At 50.7% G+C, this 14,791-nt stretch overlaps 1 protein-coding gene and 1 pseudogene across 11 annotated transcripts in view, besides 2 other annotated features; one reads left to right on the top strand and one right to left on the bottom strand.

Annotated features, from left to right (window-relative positions):
* The window catches only part of ZNF423 (zinc finger protein 423), a 371,756-nt gene that overhangs the window by 93,741 nt on the left and 263,224 nt on the right, over positions 1–14,791 (top strand). The window lies entirely within an intron of this gene.
* On the bottom strand, positions 827–1,086 carry MRPS21P8 (mitochondrial ribosomal protein S21 pseudogene 8; annotated as a pseudogene).
* Positions 10,270–10,928: an enhancer, noted in NCBI's record as "OCT4-NANOG-H3K27ac-H3K4me1 hESC enhancer chr16:49788522-49789180 (GRCh37/hg19 assembly coordinates)". NCBI's record gives its function as "activates a minimal SCP1, AML or CMV promoter by ChIP-STARR-seq in naive and primed H9 embryonic stem cells {active_cell/tissue: H9 hESC(naive and primed)}" and the evidence as "EXISTENCE:reporter gene assay evidence [ECO:0000049][PMID:30033119]".
* Positions 10,929–11,587: an enhancer, noted in NCBI's record as "H3K27ac-H3K4me1 hESC enhancer chr16:49787863-49788521 (GRCh37/hg19 assembly coordinates)". NCBI's record gives its function as "activates a minimal SCP1, AML or CMV promoter by ChIP-STARR-seq in naive H9 embryonic stem cells {active_cell/tissue: H9 hESC(naive)}" and the evidence as "EXISTENCE:reporter gene assay evidence [ECO:0000049][PMID:30033119]".

Here is a 14,791-nt window from a genome sequence, read left to right as displayed (position 1 = left end):
AGGTCTCACTATGTTGCCCAGGCTCGTCTCAAACTCCTGGGATCAAGAAATCCTCCTGCCTTGGCCTCCCAAAGTGCTGGGATTACAGTCCTGAGCCACTGTACCCAGGAAAATTTGTTTTTATTATAGTAAAATATATGTCACATGAAATTTATCATTTTAACCATTTATGTGTGCAGTTCAGTGGCGTTACAGTACATTCACCTTTCAGTGCAGCTACCACCACCATCCACCTTCGGAAAGTTTTCATCTTCCCAAAATGAAACGATGTTCCCATTAAAACACAAACTCCCCATTGCCCTTTCCCAGGCCCTGGCAAACACTGTTCTACTCAGTTTTTTCTTTCACTTAATAAAAGAGAAGGCTCATTGCTGGCTCATGGGGTTACTTCTCTATGTGGCAGCCTTTTTGCATACATGGGATTGAGGTGAAGGTAGAGAAAGGTAACCAAGAATGGGGTTGCAGGAAGAAAAGAGGTGGAGGCACTTGGCTGGGGGTGGTGGCTGTAATCCCAGCACTTTGGGAGATGAGGCGGGCAAATCACTTGAGGTCAGGAGTTTGAGCCCAGCCTGGCCAACATGGTGAAACCGCGTCTCTACTAAAAATACAAAAAAAAAAAAAAAATTAGCTGGGCGTGGTGGCGCACACCTGTAATCCCAGCTACTGGGGGAGGCTGAGGCAGGAGAATTGCTTGAACCTGGGAGACGGAGGTTGTAGTGGGCCGAGATCGTGCCACTACACTCCAGCCTGGGGGACAGAGTAAGACTCTATCTCAAAAAAGAAAAAAAAAGAAAAGAAAAAAGAGGTGGGTGTCGTATCCACAGGCTCAGCAGCCCCGCCGATCCAGACAGTTCTTTTCCACCAAGAGGTTGATCCTTGGAGCCATCTCCATGCTGTAGATCTGCCAGCAGGTTCCGTAGCTTTCCCCTGTTGCTGGTGGCATGGCTTCTCATGGCACCGCTGATGTCGAATGTCCTCAGCGAGCCCATTCATGGCCACGATTCTGTGTTGGGTCCCGCACGCACCTTTCACGGTCCTTTTCTGTAACATCACAGTCCTGGCAATGAACTCCAGATGTTTTGCCCTGACCTTGGATTTAAGTCTCCACTCTGCAGGCCCTCATGAGCTCAGTCCCAGCCCGCCTTCTTTTTTAAGGCTGAATCATAGTCCATTGTGTGTCTAGCCCACTTTTTGTTTATCCCTTCCTCTGTTGATGGACACTGGGTTGCTTTAATTTGTTCAGGAATGGTGGGGTGAGTGGGACCCAGTGCAGCATGGTCTTCTCTTATGCTGGAGGGGACTGGTGGTGAGAGGCTGCGTATCTGGGAGTGGCTCTCATGTTCCCCGCAGCAGGGCATGGGAGCGAGGGGTCCTCTGTGGGGTTGGGGGCTCTTGCCAACATCCATCTTCCCCACACACATCCTCTCTTTGGCCTGAGAAAAGTACATCGACCTCCTCCCTCTTGCAGTTTGGCTGTGGGAGTGGGTGACTCACAGACACAGCCCCTTTCCTGTCTCCTCCTGCCCGTGGGGCCAGCAGGCTGCCTCAGCCGTGAGACTTTCTGCACAAAGGTCCGTCAGAGGAGAGGTAGCTCTCCGCTGAGTGGTGTCTGGTTGCCAGACATGGTGATGGAAATGCTTTAAACCTTAAACGAGCTACCCAGCAAATGGTGGGAAGGAAGGAACGGGCTGATCTGATCTGTGGTCTTCTGTTTGTTCATGGTGACATGGATGGGGCAAAAGGATTGGGTGGAAACTGACCCTTTGGAAAACAAAAATTAACAGGAAGGCATGAACGCAGCAATAAAGATGAACAACCAGTTGCCACCCCCAAGTGTGGGTGACTCGTGTAGACATCATGTTGAGCAAAGGAAGCAGAGGCAGCGGAGAAGTGGGGTGCACGTGTCTGTTCCTGTGACGCTGGGGAGTGGGCAAAGTGGATGTCTGTGATAGAGGCGAAGAAGTGACTGCCTTTGGAGGGACATGTGGGAACCTACTGGGGTGCAGGGAATGTCCCATACCTTGATTTGTGTGCTCATTTATGTAAAACCTTGCTGTCCAGCAAGGCAAAACCCCATGTCTAGAAAAAATACAAAAATTAGCCAGGTGTGGTGGCATGTACCTGTAGTCCCAGTCGGGAGGCTGAGGTGGGTGGATTATGTGAGCCTGGGAGGTAGAGGCTGCAGTGAGCCATGATTGTTCCACTGCACTCCAGCCTGGGCAACAGAGTGAGACCCTGTCTCAAAAACAAAACAAAACAAAACAAAAACAAAAACCAAAAAACCCAGAGTACAAAGAACAACAACAACAAAAATACCTGCTGTCACCCAGTTTGCTTAAGATTTGTGAGTTAAACCTGAATAAGAAAGGGATGCTGGGCACAGTGACTCACGCCTGTAATCCCAGTGCTTTGGGAGGCTGAGGAAGGAGGCTCTCTTGAGGCCAGGAGTTTGAGACTAGCCTGGGTGACGTAGCAAGACCCCATCTCTACTAAAAATACAGAAATTAGCCAGGCATGGTGGTGTGTGCCTGTAATCCCAGCTACTCAGGAGGCTGAGGTGAGAGGATTGCTTGAGTCCAGGAGTCCGAGGCTGCAGTGAGCTATGATCATGAAAGGGACGTGAAAAGAACTGATGAGATTAAACATTTTCATTTCAGTGATGTGGAGGTTGTGGGCTTTTTACTTGGCTTATTTCCCCCTCAATTATTAGAATAAGATATTCCAAGACCAAGCGTTGGGCTGGTTGCCTGGGCTCAGTCAGCCTTCAGATGGGGTGTTGAAGGTAAGAGTCAAAGGGCCCACCTAGGCCGTTCCCGAGAGCGGAAGGTAGTGGGAGAGTCTGGAGTGTCCTTGCACCTCCTGAGTGACAGCTGCCAGCCCTCCAGTCCTCCCCTCTGCACTTGTAAAGTAAGTCTTGGGCCTTCTTATGCTGGGGAAATTGTTCTAGAATGAGGTGCAGGATGCCTATCTTTTCTTCTTCCTGGCCTGACCTCATCAAATTGCTTGACCTCATGAACATTAGTCCTCTTGTCTAGACACAGACATGGTCATTCCTGGCTCACCAGCCTCACAGAGAGGTTGGGAAGCTCACTCGGGGTCTTTGTGCCCTGCGAAGGGCTGGCCACAGGCTTCTGTGTGGGGCATTCTGTCTGGGCATCATGGGCTCCTATAGCCAGAGATGGAGGGAAGACATGGGGAAAGGTGGACACTGCCTGAGCTTAGGCCCTCAGTGGAGGCCCACTTCCTTCTGGGGCGCTGGGGGACGTGCACCATGACTAATACAACCTGGTGTGGGGATTGAGATTCACAGGCATTTTCCGAAAGGGCTGGCAGTTCTGAACATAATGCTTCTCTAGGTGTCTGGGCACGGAGGCTCAGCCTGCTGGGCCTCAACGCCTTTGCTGAGCAGCTTTTAAATATGGATTTGGGCTGGGTGTAATGGCTCATGCCTGTAATCCCAGCACTTTGGGATGCTGAGGTGGGAGGATCACTTGAGGCCAGGAGTTTGAGACCATCCTGGGCAACATAGTGAGACATCTTATCTACAATTATTTTTAAAAAATTAACTGGCCATGCTCCTGTAGTCCTAGCTAGTTGGGAGGCTGAGGTGGGAGGATCACTTGAGTCCAGGAGTTGGAGGCTGCAGTGAGCTGTGATCGTGCCACTGCATTCCAGCCTGAGCAATAGAATGAGACCCTGTCTCTCTCTCTTTTTAAAGGATTCGTTCATGTATTCATTCCCTTATTAAGCCTTATTTGAACACTGTTACTGTACCTTGGATGTTTGTGCAGAGGTCAATAGTATTCAGAATTAGCTGGTTAGTGGGAGAAGAGGAGGGAGGAAATGGAGGAAGGAGTTGCCATTTTCTCAGCACCCACTCTGTGCCTATCTGGGTGCAGGAGGGCTCCCATACGCACGCATGTTGCTGCATTTACTCTTTACAACAGCCCTGGGAGGTGGTTTTTATGGCTCCTGTTTTGCAGGTGAGGTAATGAGTTCAGTTGGGCTGAGTCTTTGCTACTCAGAGCGTGGTCCTGGGACCAGCGTCGTTCTCCTTACTGGGAGCTTCTAGTAACGCACAATCTTGGGCTTCTTCCCAGACCTGCTGAAGCAGAATCTGCATTTGAGCAGGCTCGCTGGGGATCTGTGTGTAGGGTGAAGGCCCTGCCGTGGCATGGGAGCAGGCTGGCACAGGCCAGGTTTGCTTTCCTCTGTAGTATGGCCTCCTCAGTCGTAGCAATGGCAGTCAGAATGGAGCTATTGGCAGCTATGGTGCCCAGTGTTGTGCAGGACCCTTTCATGGTTTCTCACATTTAACCACCAGCAGTCCTATGAGGTAGACATTGTCATTGTCTCCCTTTATTGCTGGGGAGACCCAGGTCACAGAGAGGGCAAGTAACCTGGGCTGAACCTCTCTCAGGTCACACTGTGTTTGGGAGGCAAAGGGCCTTCTCAGAGGGTGTGTGTGTGCATGTGTGTGTGTGTGCATGTATGTGTGTGCATGTGTGTGTACGTGTGCATGTGTTTATGTGTATATATGTGTGCGTGTGTGCGTATATGCATATGTGTGTTCATGTGCATGCATGTATGCGTGTGTGTACGTGTGTGTGTGTGTGTGTGTGTTGGAGGGAGGTGGTGGTGACGGCATGGCAGGGGGAATTTGGGGAGATGACTCTTGGAAGCAATGGATATAGCAGATGGTCGGGGGAGAAGTCAGTGGGGTGGAGGGGACCCCAACCACCGCCTAGGGGTGCTGTCCTGAGTCTCAGGGGGAGACTTTCTGGCTTTTCAATCAAGAGTCAGGTCCAGGTCCCCTCCTCTGGGAAGCCCTCCCTCATTCTCTGCTCAGTTCGAGTTCTGTCTGTGCTCCTATCTTGTGCTGCTTGCCCTCATCACATTGTCTGATGTGTGTTTCTCCATTCCTGGCTAAATGGTGAGGTCCTTGGCGGCAGGACCATGTCTTGGTCATCTTCGTATCCTCTATCCCTAGCACAGTTGGTTTTTCTTCACCCATTCATTTATAAAAATATATTGGAGGCCTACTGTGTGCCGAACCCTGACTCAGGTGCTGATGGGTCCGTGGCAAGTAAGGCAAATATGATTCCTAATCCCCTAGAGGATATGCTGGAGAGGAAAGCTCTTGTGAAAGGGTGACAAATTTATTCATTAGTTCATCCATCCATCCATTCATTAATCCATACATCTACCCACCCCACCCACCCACCCATCCACCCATCCATCCATTCATCAACCCATCCACCCATTCATCCATCCATTCATTAATCCATCCATCTACCCACCCCACCCACCCATTCAGCCATTCATCAGCTCATCTACCCATTCATCCCCTCATCCATCCATCCATCCATTCATTAATCCATCTACCCACCCCACCCACCCATCCACCCATTCATCCACCCACGCATCCATCCATTCATCAATCCATCCACCCATTCATCCACTCATCTGTCCATTCAGTCATTAATCCATCCATCTACCCACCCCACCCACCCATCCACCCATTGATCTACCCATCCATTCACCCATTCACTAAGCAAACACTAGGCACTGGGGTTACAGTGTAAGCAAGTCTAAAGTGATCCTGGCCCTTGGAGCTACAGCCCAGGGGAACACCCACAACTCGCAATCTCTCTAAAGAGAACCAGGGCCAAAGGGCAGGTGCAGCAGGGACCCTAGTCTCATCTGCACAGACAGGGCCACCTCCTGTGACGTCTGAAGGAGGTTGTGGAATTACACAAAAAAGGACTTTACACTTGGAATGTTAGGCACCCAACACATTCCAAACTTACAACACTTCCAGAGTTTTGGGATCTTAACTCTAAGCTGTCACAGGGGTTAAAAGCAGGAAGTTTCAGAGGGTGTCTGGATTTGCAGAAGTGCAACTCCATGCTTTTCAACAGCCATTGCCCTGCAAAGCGCACTCCTGGCTGAGAACTTTCATGAGTATGTGCTGCTCCTGAGGCTGCTGTGGTCCCGCCAGGGTTGTCTGTTAGGGTCTGTAGCACCTATCTGTAAGTTGACCCTGGGCTGGCTAGATGTCACCCTGCAGCCATTCGCTGGCTCTTGGGTTGCATTGCACCTAGGCAAGGGGATAGCAAGCTTTCCTTTTTTTTTTTTCTGAGGTGGCGTCTCGCCCTGTCACCCAGGCTGGAGTGCAGTGGCTCGATCTTGGCTCACCGCAACCTCCGCCTCCCGGGTTCAAGCGATTCTCCTGCCCCAGCCTCCCGAGTAGCTGGAATTACAGGTGTGCACCAACACACCCAGCTGATTTTTTGTATTTTTAGTAGAGATGGGGTTTCACCGTGTTGGCCAAGATGGTCTCGAACTCCTGGCCTCGTGATCTGCCCGTCTTGGCCTCCCAAGGTGCTGGGATTACAGGCGTGAGCCACAGCCACCATGCCCAGCCAGCAAGCTTTCCTTTTATTATTTTTTTAAAAATATGGTTTTATTGCAAAATGAAACACAGATCTAGAAACCCACAAAGTCAATGTAGAACTTAGTGAATTTTTATAAGGTGAACGCCATTGAAACCACTTCCCAGGTCTAGAAATAGAACTTTGCAAGCTACTTCGGAAGGCTTATCCTTGTTCCCCATCCCTGTTTCTCCTTCCAGAAAGAATCACTAGCTTGACTTTTATGGTGATCACACCCTTGCTTTGTTTTAAAGTTCTGTCACTCACGTGTGTACCCCTTGCCACTATAATTTAGACTTGGAGTGCCATTCTTTAAGGAACATGAGGGAGTAATTTTTTTTTGTAGTGATGATTATTTTACTTTTTTTGGAGACCACTCTGTCGCCCAGGCTGGGAGTGCAGTGGTGCCATCATAGCTCACTGCAGCTTCAAACTCCTAGACTCAAGCGATCCTCTCATCTCAGCCTCCCTAGTAGCTGGGACTGCAGGTGCATGCCACCATGCCTGGATATTTTTTAAAATTTTTGTAGAGATGGGGTCTTACTATGTGGTTCAGGTTGGTCTTGAAGTCCTGGCTTCAAGCGATTCTCCCTACTTAGCCCTCCAAGTAGCTGGAATTACAGGTGTGAGTCACCATGCCCAGCTGATTATTTTAAAAATTCTTTTGGTCAGGCGCAGTGGCTCACCCCTGTAATCCCAATACTTTGGGAGGCTGAGGGGGGTGGATCACTTGAGTCCAGGAGTTCCAGACCAGCCTGGCCAACATGACGAAACCCTGTCTCTATTAAAAATACAAAGATTAGCCAGGCATGGTGGCGGGTGCCTATAATCCCAGCTACTCGGGAGGCCGAGGCAGGAGAATCGCATGAACCCAGGAGGCGGAGGTTGTAGTGAGCTAAGATCATGCCACTGCACTCCAGCCTCGGTGACAGAGCGAGACCCTGTCTCAAAAAAACAAATTCCTTTCTAACAATTCCTGATCTGGAAGCTTCTGGTGATTAGGCTCCCGGGTAAACCATTTTCTACCTTTGGCAGGTGAAGGCGAGGCAGGAAGTGCCTACCATTTAGCAGGTGTTCACTCAGAGTTTGATGAGAGGCTGGAGATGCCAGGGATGTTTTACAGTCACCTGGGGAGGAGGTACCGCAGTCCTGAACCAGGGTGACCACAGGCAGGGGGACCAACAGTGTGGAGGGGAGGAGCCGAGGGCGGGTCAGGGGAGGATTAACATGAGGGGAAAGGAGATCCTGTGCGTCATTCTTTCTTTCCCTTTCTTTCCCCTTCAGTACACTGGGGGAAATTAATCTCCCACCTGCCACGGCAGGGAAACCTGAGTTTGCTGTTGGGGCTGTCCAGGGCACGTGGGGTGTTTGTCTTTGAGGCCTTTCTTCACCAGAATTGATGACAGGGGTGTATTTCCTGCTGAGCCGGGCTCCTCACCCCACCCAAGGGGGATTTGGAGGCAGGTGGTCACGTGTCTGGCTTGGTTTGGGTGTCCACAATAGCCTGAGGGATGTGTTGAATTTTAGAAGTTACTGACAGGTGAGTTCTATGGGAGAGGGCTATGGTGATTTTCAAATGCTGGGTCAACAGCATTCTGCAGTCCTCACCATGCAGGTGCTCCTCATGTCCTGGAAACTTAACTTCAAGCAGGTGGCTGATCAAGCCTTGCTGTTGGTAGGAGCAGGGGGCTGGCCTCCTTATTCACCTAATCTTCTCTACATGGGAACAGGATAGTGGTTTTATGACTCATTACTGAAGGCTCCCTTTGTTAGAAGTTCAGACTGTAGGAGATGTCGGTGTAGCCAGTTTTAAGCTGAGTCAGGAAGAGCATCACGAACCTATGGAATCTCCAATAGCACATGGAAACAGGAAAAAATGAGAATGGAAATTCTTGGCCTCATTTATAAATAAGCGTTGATTAAAAGTCTATTTTTTTGTCTTTGTTGTGGAGGACACAGGAGTGTTGGATTCAGTCCCAACATTGCACAGCGTAATGGAAAAGAAATAACTGTCATTGTGCATCGTGACAAGTAATTTATAAGAAAAACAAAAACACTTGCACAGGGCCAGTTGTCTATTGTGTGTTGGTGACACAAAATGGGACTTCTCACTATAGTTAGGTGGGGTTTCTGTCTTTTGGCAGGACTTTGGCTTTTAAAAGTGCCACACACTCTAGAAGAAAACAAGGAATTATGCAGCCATGTGGACATGGGTTCTGAGGCCTGTTCATGTCTGCCCCTCCCCGCGCATGCTGGCTTCCCCCCGCCATCTCGCAATGGACTTGTCCTCAGGGGTGCTCACAAGTGTCCGAACTCATCATGGGTGCTTCCCCCTGTTCTCAGCCCACCCATGACCCGTGCCTTTTTGCCCGTGTGCCCTGGGAGGTGGTGATGGTTGCCACCTCCTCCTTTCCATGCAGGTGAGAGCTGGGCTGGATGAGGTGGTCTCTTAGGTCCCTTCCAACTTGAAGCTTCCCTGGGTCCAAGCTTAAGGGATGGGCAGGGACCTTTCGAGACACGCATTTGGTGGGAAGATGCCCCTGAAAGGTGCCATGGAGTCATCTGTGGCAGTCCGGGTGCTCTTTGTCTAGGCCAGTGTTGGAACTCCGGGGAGGGGTCCAATTCCGTATCAGTGTGGCGGGGACTGGCCTTCCAAAAGGCTGTTTTCCAAGCGCTTGATGTTCATGCTGTTTTCATTCTAAGATGTGTATTTTGTCATTGCCTAACATTTCTGAAATTGGGAAGCATTTTAATGTCTGTATGTGTGTTTAATAAAATGACAGTCCCTCCAAAGAGAGAGCTGTCATTAAGATAGTGGTGGGCCACACACTTAGAGCCTCTTAGACCTCACAGGCTGTCGTAACTGGTGATAGGCGGCCTGGGCTGATGCAGGCTGCCCCCAGGATTCAAAACAGCAAGTCCGTTTTGAAAACCCTTGTCTCTGAAACCTTCCAGTCATCTCTGTGGGCTGTCATCTAATTTTGCTTAAACACTGCATTTGCCTCCCCTCCCTCACTCACAAACCTCCAGTGGCTCCCTATTTCTTCTACCTGAACCTTGGACTCAGCCTGGCTTTCAGTCTGGCCCCTGCATCATTCTTTCTGCCTCAATCAGCCACTCACCCAGTTCCTTTCCAGTAGGAAGATTTCATGATCTCCTCCGAGGCAGGGCCGTCTCTGACTCCACCGGGTCCCTAGCACAGGGTCTTCGGGTGGCAGGCATTCCGGCAACACTTGTTGGCTGATGCATTGATGTGGCTGCAGCTCAGACCTGAAGTCCTTTGGGCATTTTATTACCATCAGCATCTGGGCAGTGTAACTCGAGGATTAACAGAGTTATAGGAGAAAACTCCACTCTAAGAATGGCTAATTATTATTATTTTTTAACCAACTACAATTTACAGAGGGTTCGTAGAGGCACAAAAGAGCACACACCCTGTAAACGAGGGTTAATGAGAAAGCTTCCCGATAGCTTGTGCTTCATCAGCAACAGAACAGCGTGTAAATAAATCTAATTTCTCTCCAACTCAACTCGTCACAGGCTTAATTACCGCAGCCACAATGTGTGCATGTGTGTGTTTTTTTCATTAGCGAAAGAGGGTCATTATTAGCCATGTCTGGTAAGAATTATGATGAAGAGCCTGGCTTACCCTCGATAGGTGTCCTCAGAGAGCAGAAATGAACTTTCCTTGTGAACTAAAGAGTTCCCAATTAAGGTGGTTTGGAGGAAGCAGGAAGCGGCAAGCAGATTAGAAAAAGATTACAGAAACGGGAAAGCGGGCGAGGAGGCGGGAGGGTTCTGGTGGGCTCGGTTAATGACCGAGGGAGGAAGGTTTTCTTCTGGGGGCTGTGCCCTCTTTTCCCGCCTGCTTTGTTATTTGCTTGCCCAGAAATCCTGGGGGCTCCGAGACCCCTCCTGGGGTCCTGTCTTGCATTCTGGCTCCAGAGAGCTGAAAATGAGACTTGCACTTGTGGGGGGACAGGGCTTGACCGCTCCCAGCCACCTCTTTTCGATGGCTTTTCACACCTCCCTCCCCTCCTGCTGAGGAGGGAGGCAGGGGAGAGCGTGCCGCTGCCACCGCGGAAGATAGCCGCACCGGCGGACTGTTGCAGTGAGTGTATTGTTCTAGAAAGAAATAGCTGAAAACCCTGAGTCAGAAATTAGTTAACACAAAGGAAGTTGAACCCTACAGGCCAAGTTCCAATTGTCTGCAGGAAGTGCCCTGCCCAGGGGGCCCTTTGAGGGAGGATTTAAGTCCATTCTGCCTGGCACTCTGTACACAATGTTGGCAAAAAAAGTTTTTTCTTTCCTTCCGACCCCAGGCCCGCAAGCCCCCCATAATGATTGCTTTCCTCATTAAGCAGTGCAGGAGGCCGCACTTTGAGGTGCAAATACATCTCTAGTGATTGAGAAATGCAGGCGGCTTCTCCGGCTTGGTGCACATGTGTTACGGCTGCTGAGACGCTGTCTGTCCCTGAGGCAGCCCGAGCTGCCCCTCCATCCCTTGCACTGGGCATAGGGCAGACCTGACAGCTTTCATAGTGGAAGAGGACCTGGAAGCCTCTTCTGGGTCTGAGGGTCCCTAGCATGTCTTCTTCTAGGTCCTGCTTGGATGCCTCCAGGGATGGGAGTCTCATCTCATTCCAAAGCAGCTTGATCCCTATTGGCAGCCCTGATGATCACATTTACTGAGCACTTACTGAGTGCCTATAATTACTTAATTAAACAAACATTATTGAGAATCTCTTCTGGACCAGGCACTGTGCTAGGCATCGGGGATTAATCAATGACCCTGGATGGAGGTTTCCTGCCCTCTTGGAGCTTACGCCAGATTGAATGCAGGAGGGAACTGATAAATGCAATGATGAATGCTTTGAAAACTAAAAGTGTGTAGAGAGAGGGCAGGTTAGGTGGGGGCAATGCCACTGCCTTGCTCAACAAGGAGGAGTTACTAAAGCCAAACTTCTCCCCGTTTCTTTATGAAACCCCACCTGACCTGGCCTTGGGTTGGGGCCTTTGCATAAACAAACTATTCTTCCTCCACCTTTTAATGCCTGGCTTTTTTTTTTTTTTTTGACGGAGTCTTGCTCTTGTCGCCCAGGCTGGAGTGTAGTGGCGCAATCTCAGCTCTCTGCACCCTTCTCCTCCCGTGTTCAAGTGATTCTCCTGCCTCAGCCTCTGGAGTAGCTGGGATTACAGGCGCCCGCCACCATTCCCAGCTAATTTTTGTACTTTTAGTAGAGACGGGGTTTTGCCATGTTGGCCAGGCTGGTCTCGAACTCCTGACCTCAGGTGATCCGCCCGCCTTGGCCTCCCAAAGTGCTGGGATTACAGGCATGAACCACCATGCCCAGCCAAATGCCTGGCTTCCTCGTGCCATTCAAGTGTTTGCTCAAATGTCCTTTCTCCAGAGAGGCCTTTTTTGATAGCCAGAGCTGAAGCTGCCTCTTTGCTTTTCAACAGTTCCTGTCCTAACACCTTTTATTGTTTTTTTTTTTTTTTTAAATAGGGTCTTACTCTGTTGCCCAGGCTGGAGTGCAGTGGTGCAGTCACAGCTCGCTGCAGCCTCTAACTCCTGGGATCAAGTAGTCCTCCTGCTTTAGCCTTCCAAGTAGCTGGGACTACAGGTGCACATCACCACGCCTGGCTAATTTTTTTTTTTTTTTCTGTAGACAGGGTCTTGCTATGTTGCCCAGGCTGGTCTTAAACTCCTGGGCTCAAGCAATCCTCCCACCTCAGCTTCGCAAAGTGCTAGTATTATAGGTGTGAGCCACCGCGCCTAGCCTCCTATCACCTTTGTTTCAATACTTGCCTTGCATTTATCACCCCCTGAGATTTTCTGATTATTATTATTTTGCTTTGAGACAGAGTCTTGCTCTGTTGCCCAGGATGGAGTGCAGTGGCATGATCTTGGCTCACTGCAACCTCTGCCTCCCGGGTTCAAGTGATTCTCCTGCCTCAGTCTCCCAAGTAGCTGGGACTACAGGCTCACGCCACCACGCCTGGCTAATTTTTGTATTTTTAGTAGAGATGGGGCTTCACCATGCTGGCCAGACTGGTGTTGAACTCTTGCCCTCAAGTGATCCACCTGCCTCAGCCTCCCAAAGTGCTGGGATTACAGGCGTGAGCCACTGTGCCTGGTCGATTTTCTGATGATTATATTCCTTGCTGCCTAGTGGATTTTGTCTCTGCGGTTGACTGCTGTGTTCCCAGCCCAGGACATTGCCTGGCACACAGCAGCCCCGCAGTCCTGACTTGTTGAGTGGGTGAGGACATGTGAGGCTCATGCTACCCTCTCTGTTACCTTGAATGAGCTCCACAGCAACCTCCCATTTTACAGATGAAGAAATGGAGGTTCAGAGAGGTTAAGTAATTAACCTAGGGTCACACGGGGATGCATCTCCAGTCAGTAGAAGGTCAAGCCCATGCCCTCAGTTGTCCCGATGAATTTGTGCAGGTTTTTTCTCCTCCTGATCAGCCCGTGGGGTCTGTTCTGTGCTCTGTGACCTCCTGGAGCAAGCCTGCTTGCTCTATGGGCCACCCTCCTGTGGTCCCTAGACAGTCTCCCTGGCCTCCCTGGGCTCCCCTTTGAAAAGGACAGGAGGCTTGGAGAGATATCCAGGGCTAGAGTTCTCTGGTGATGTTGCTATGGTCAGAAAGGGGGACCAGCCTTGCTCCCCCAGACCCCTACTGGGTCAAATGGCTGGTGCTGTGGATGCCCAGGTGGTTATGCAAGGGTTTCTGTGGCTGGGACACCGTCAGGAAGGGATGTTGAAGACCCCAGGCCCAAGCCATGTGGGGTGGGGGAGGGCCACTGGTGTGCACCCCCTCTCCCAATTCCGGTGTGCAGTTCTTGCCTGGGGGCCATGGAAGCCAGGCGAGGCATCAGGCCACCTGTTTGCAATGCCTTCCTGGGCCACGTCACGGGCACAGTGGCCCGCATTCTTTGATTCCTGAGGTAGTGAATATCAGGCAGGGGGAAATGTGGCCACACAATTCTGCTTTCTTCTGCAGGAGCTGGATTTGGGGGTGAGCACTTTGATACGGGCCAGGAGAGCCTGGGGTGGGCACTAGGGGTCCTGAGATGAGCTGCTGCTCTGCATTTGCTCCCTCCTTGCTGTGGGGTTTTGGCCAAGACCTTGCCCTCCCTGGGCTGTGGGGGCCTCTTCACTGTCCTGCCTGGGTGGGAGTTTGAGTTCTGAACCACTGAACCTTAGCCTTGGAAGGAAGAAAAACAGACTGTGGCTCCAGTGCACCTCTGGGGCAGACAACACCAAGCTCCACTCTCTGTCATAGTTGCTGAGTTGGCAAGGCTGATCCCATCATTATTTTGGGGAGCAGAGCCCATGCATGGGTGGTACTGCTTCTTCCTCTCCCGACACTCAGAAGCCCAGCATGGGTTTGAAGATCATTTACTCTTTAATAAATCAGAAGACTAGTTCTGGCTGAGGTCATGATGGGATTTGAACCCAGGTCTGACCTTGCAGCCAGTGCCCAGGCCAAGGCACTTTGCATGGAGCTGGGTACATATTGCTAACTCAGAACTCTCATGTTAGAAATGTTTCCCAATAAGATTTGACCAATTTAGGCTGGGCACGGTGGCTCATGTGGGCTCCCATCTCTGCCTCCCAAAGTGCTAGGATTACAAGGTGGGAGGATTGCTTGTGGCCAGGAGTTGGAGACCAGCTTGGGCAACATAGTAAGACTTCATCTCTACAACAGATTTTTGAAAAAAACTAGCCAGGTGTGGTGGTGCTTGGGAGGCTGAGGTGGGAGGATCACTTGAGCCCAGGAGTTGGAGGCTGCAGTGAGCTGTGATAGCACCACTGCACTCCAGCCTGGGTAGCAGAATGAGACCCTGTCTCATACAACAACAACAAAAATAAAAGATTTGACCAAGCTGAGTTATTTTAAAGTACGGAGGCTGTCAAACAGTCTTGTATGTGACATGAGCACCTGCAGTCTATCTTCAGTCTGGAGTTCCCATGTGTGCCTTGAATGGAGTTGTGTGCACTGGACTCTGGGCCGCTTGAGGGGCTCTCCCAGCACCTTCTGATTTCAGGATTTGATGGCGTGTCCTGGGCCTTCCTCGGGCCTTTCGTCGCCGTCGGGCCTCTGTCTCTCAGCTCTGTGCTGTAGACACACTGGCCTCCGCTTGGTTCTTGGAGTGCACGATGCTCCATGCCTCAGGTTCCTTTGTGCTTGCTGCTCCCCATCACTGTCACCATCACCGTCTGGTTCCCTGCAGCTTGGCTCACGCTGCTTCCTCAGTGAGGCTCTCCCTCCCTCACCACTCTGGCTGGAGCTGGCGTCTTCCAGCCCCTGTCACGTCAATTATTTTATTTCCTTGGATGCGC

This window comes from Homo sapiens, chromosome 16 (genome assembly GCF_000001405.40).
Source record: "Homo sapiens chromosome 16, GRCh38.p14 Primary Assembly".
Classification (NCBI taxonomy): Eukaryota; Metazoa; Chordata; class Mammalia; order Primates; family Hominidae; genus Homo; species Homo sapiens.
This window is presented reverse-complemented; position numbering and strand designations above follow the sequence as displayed.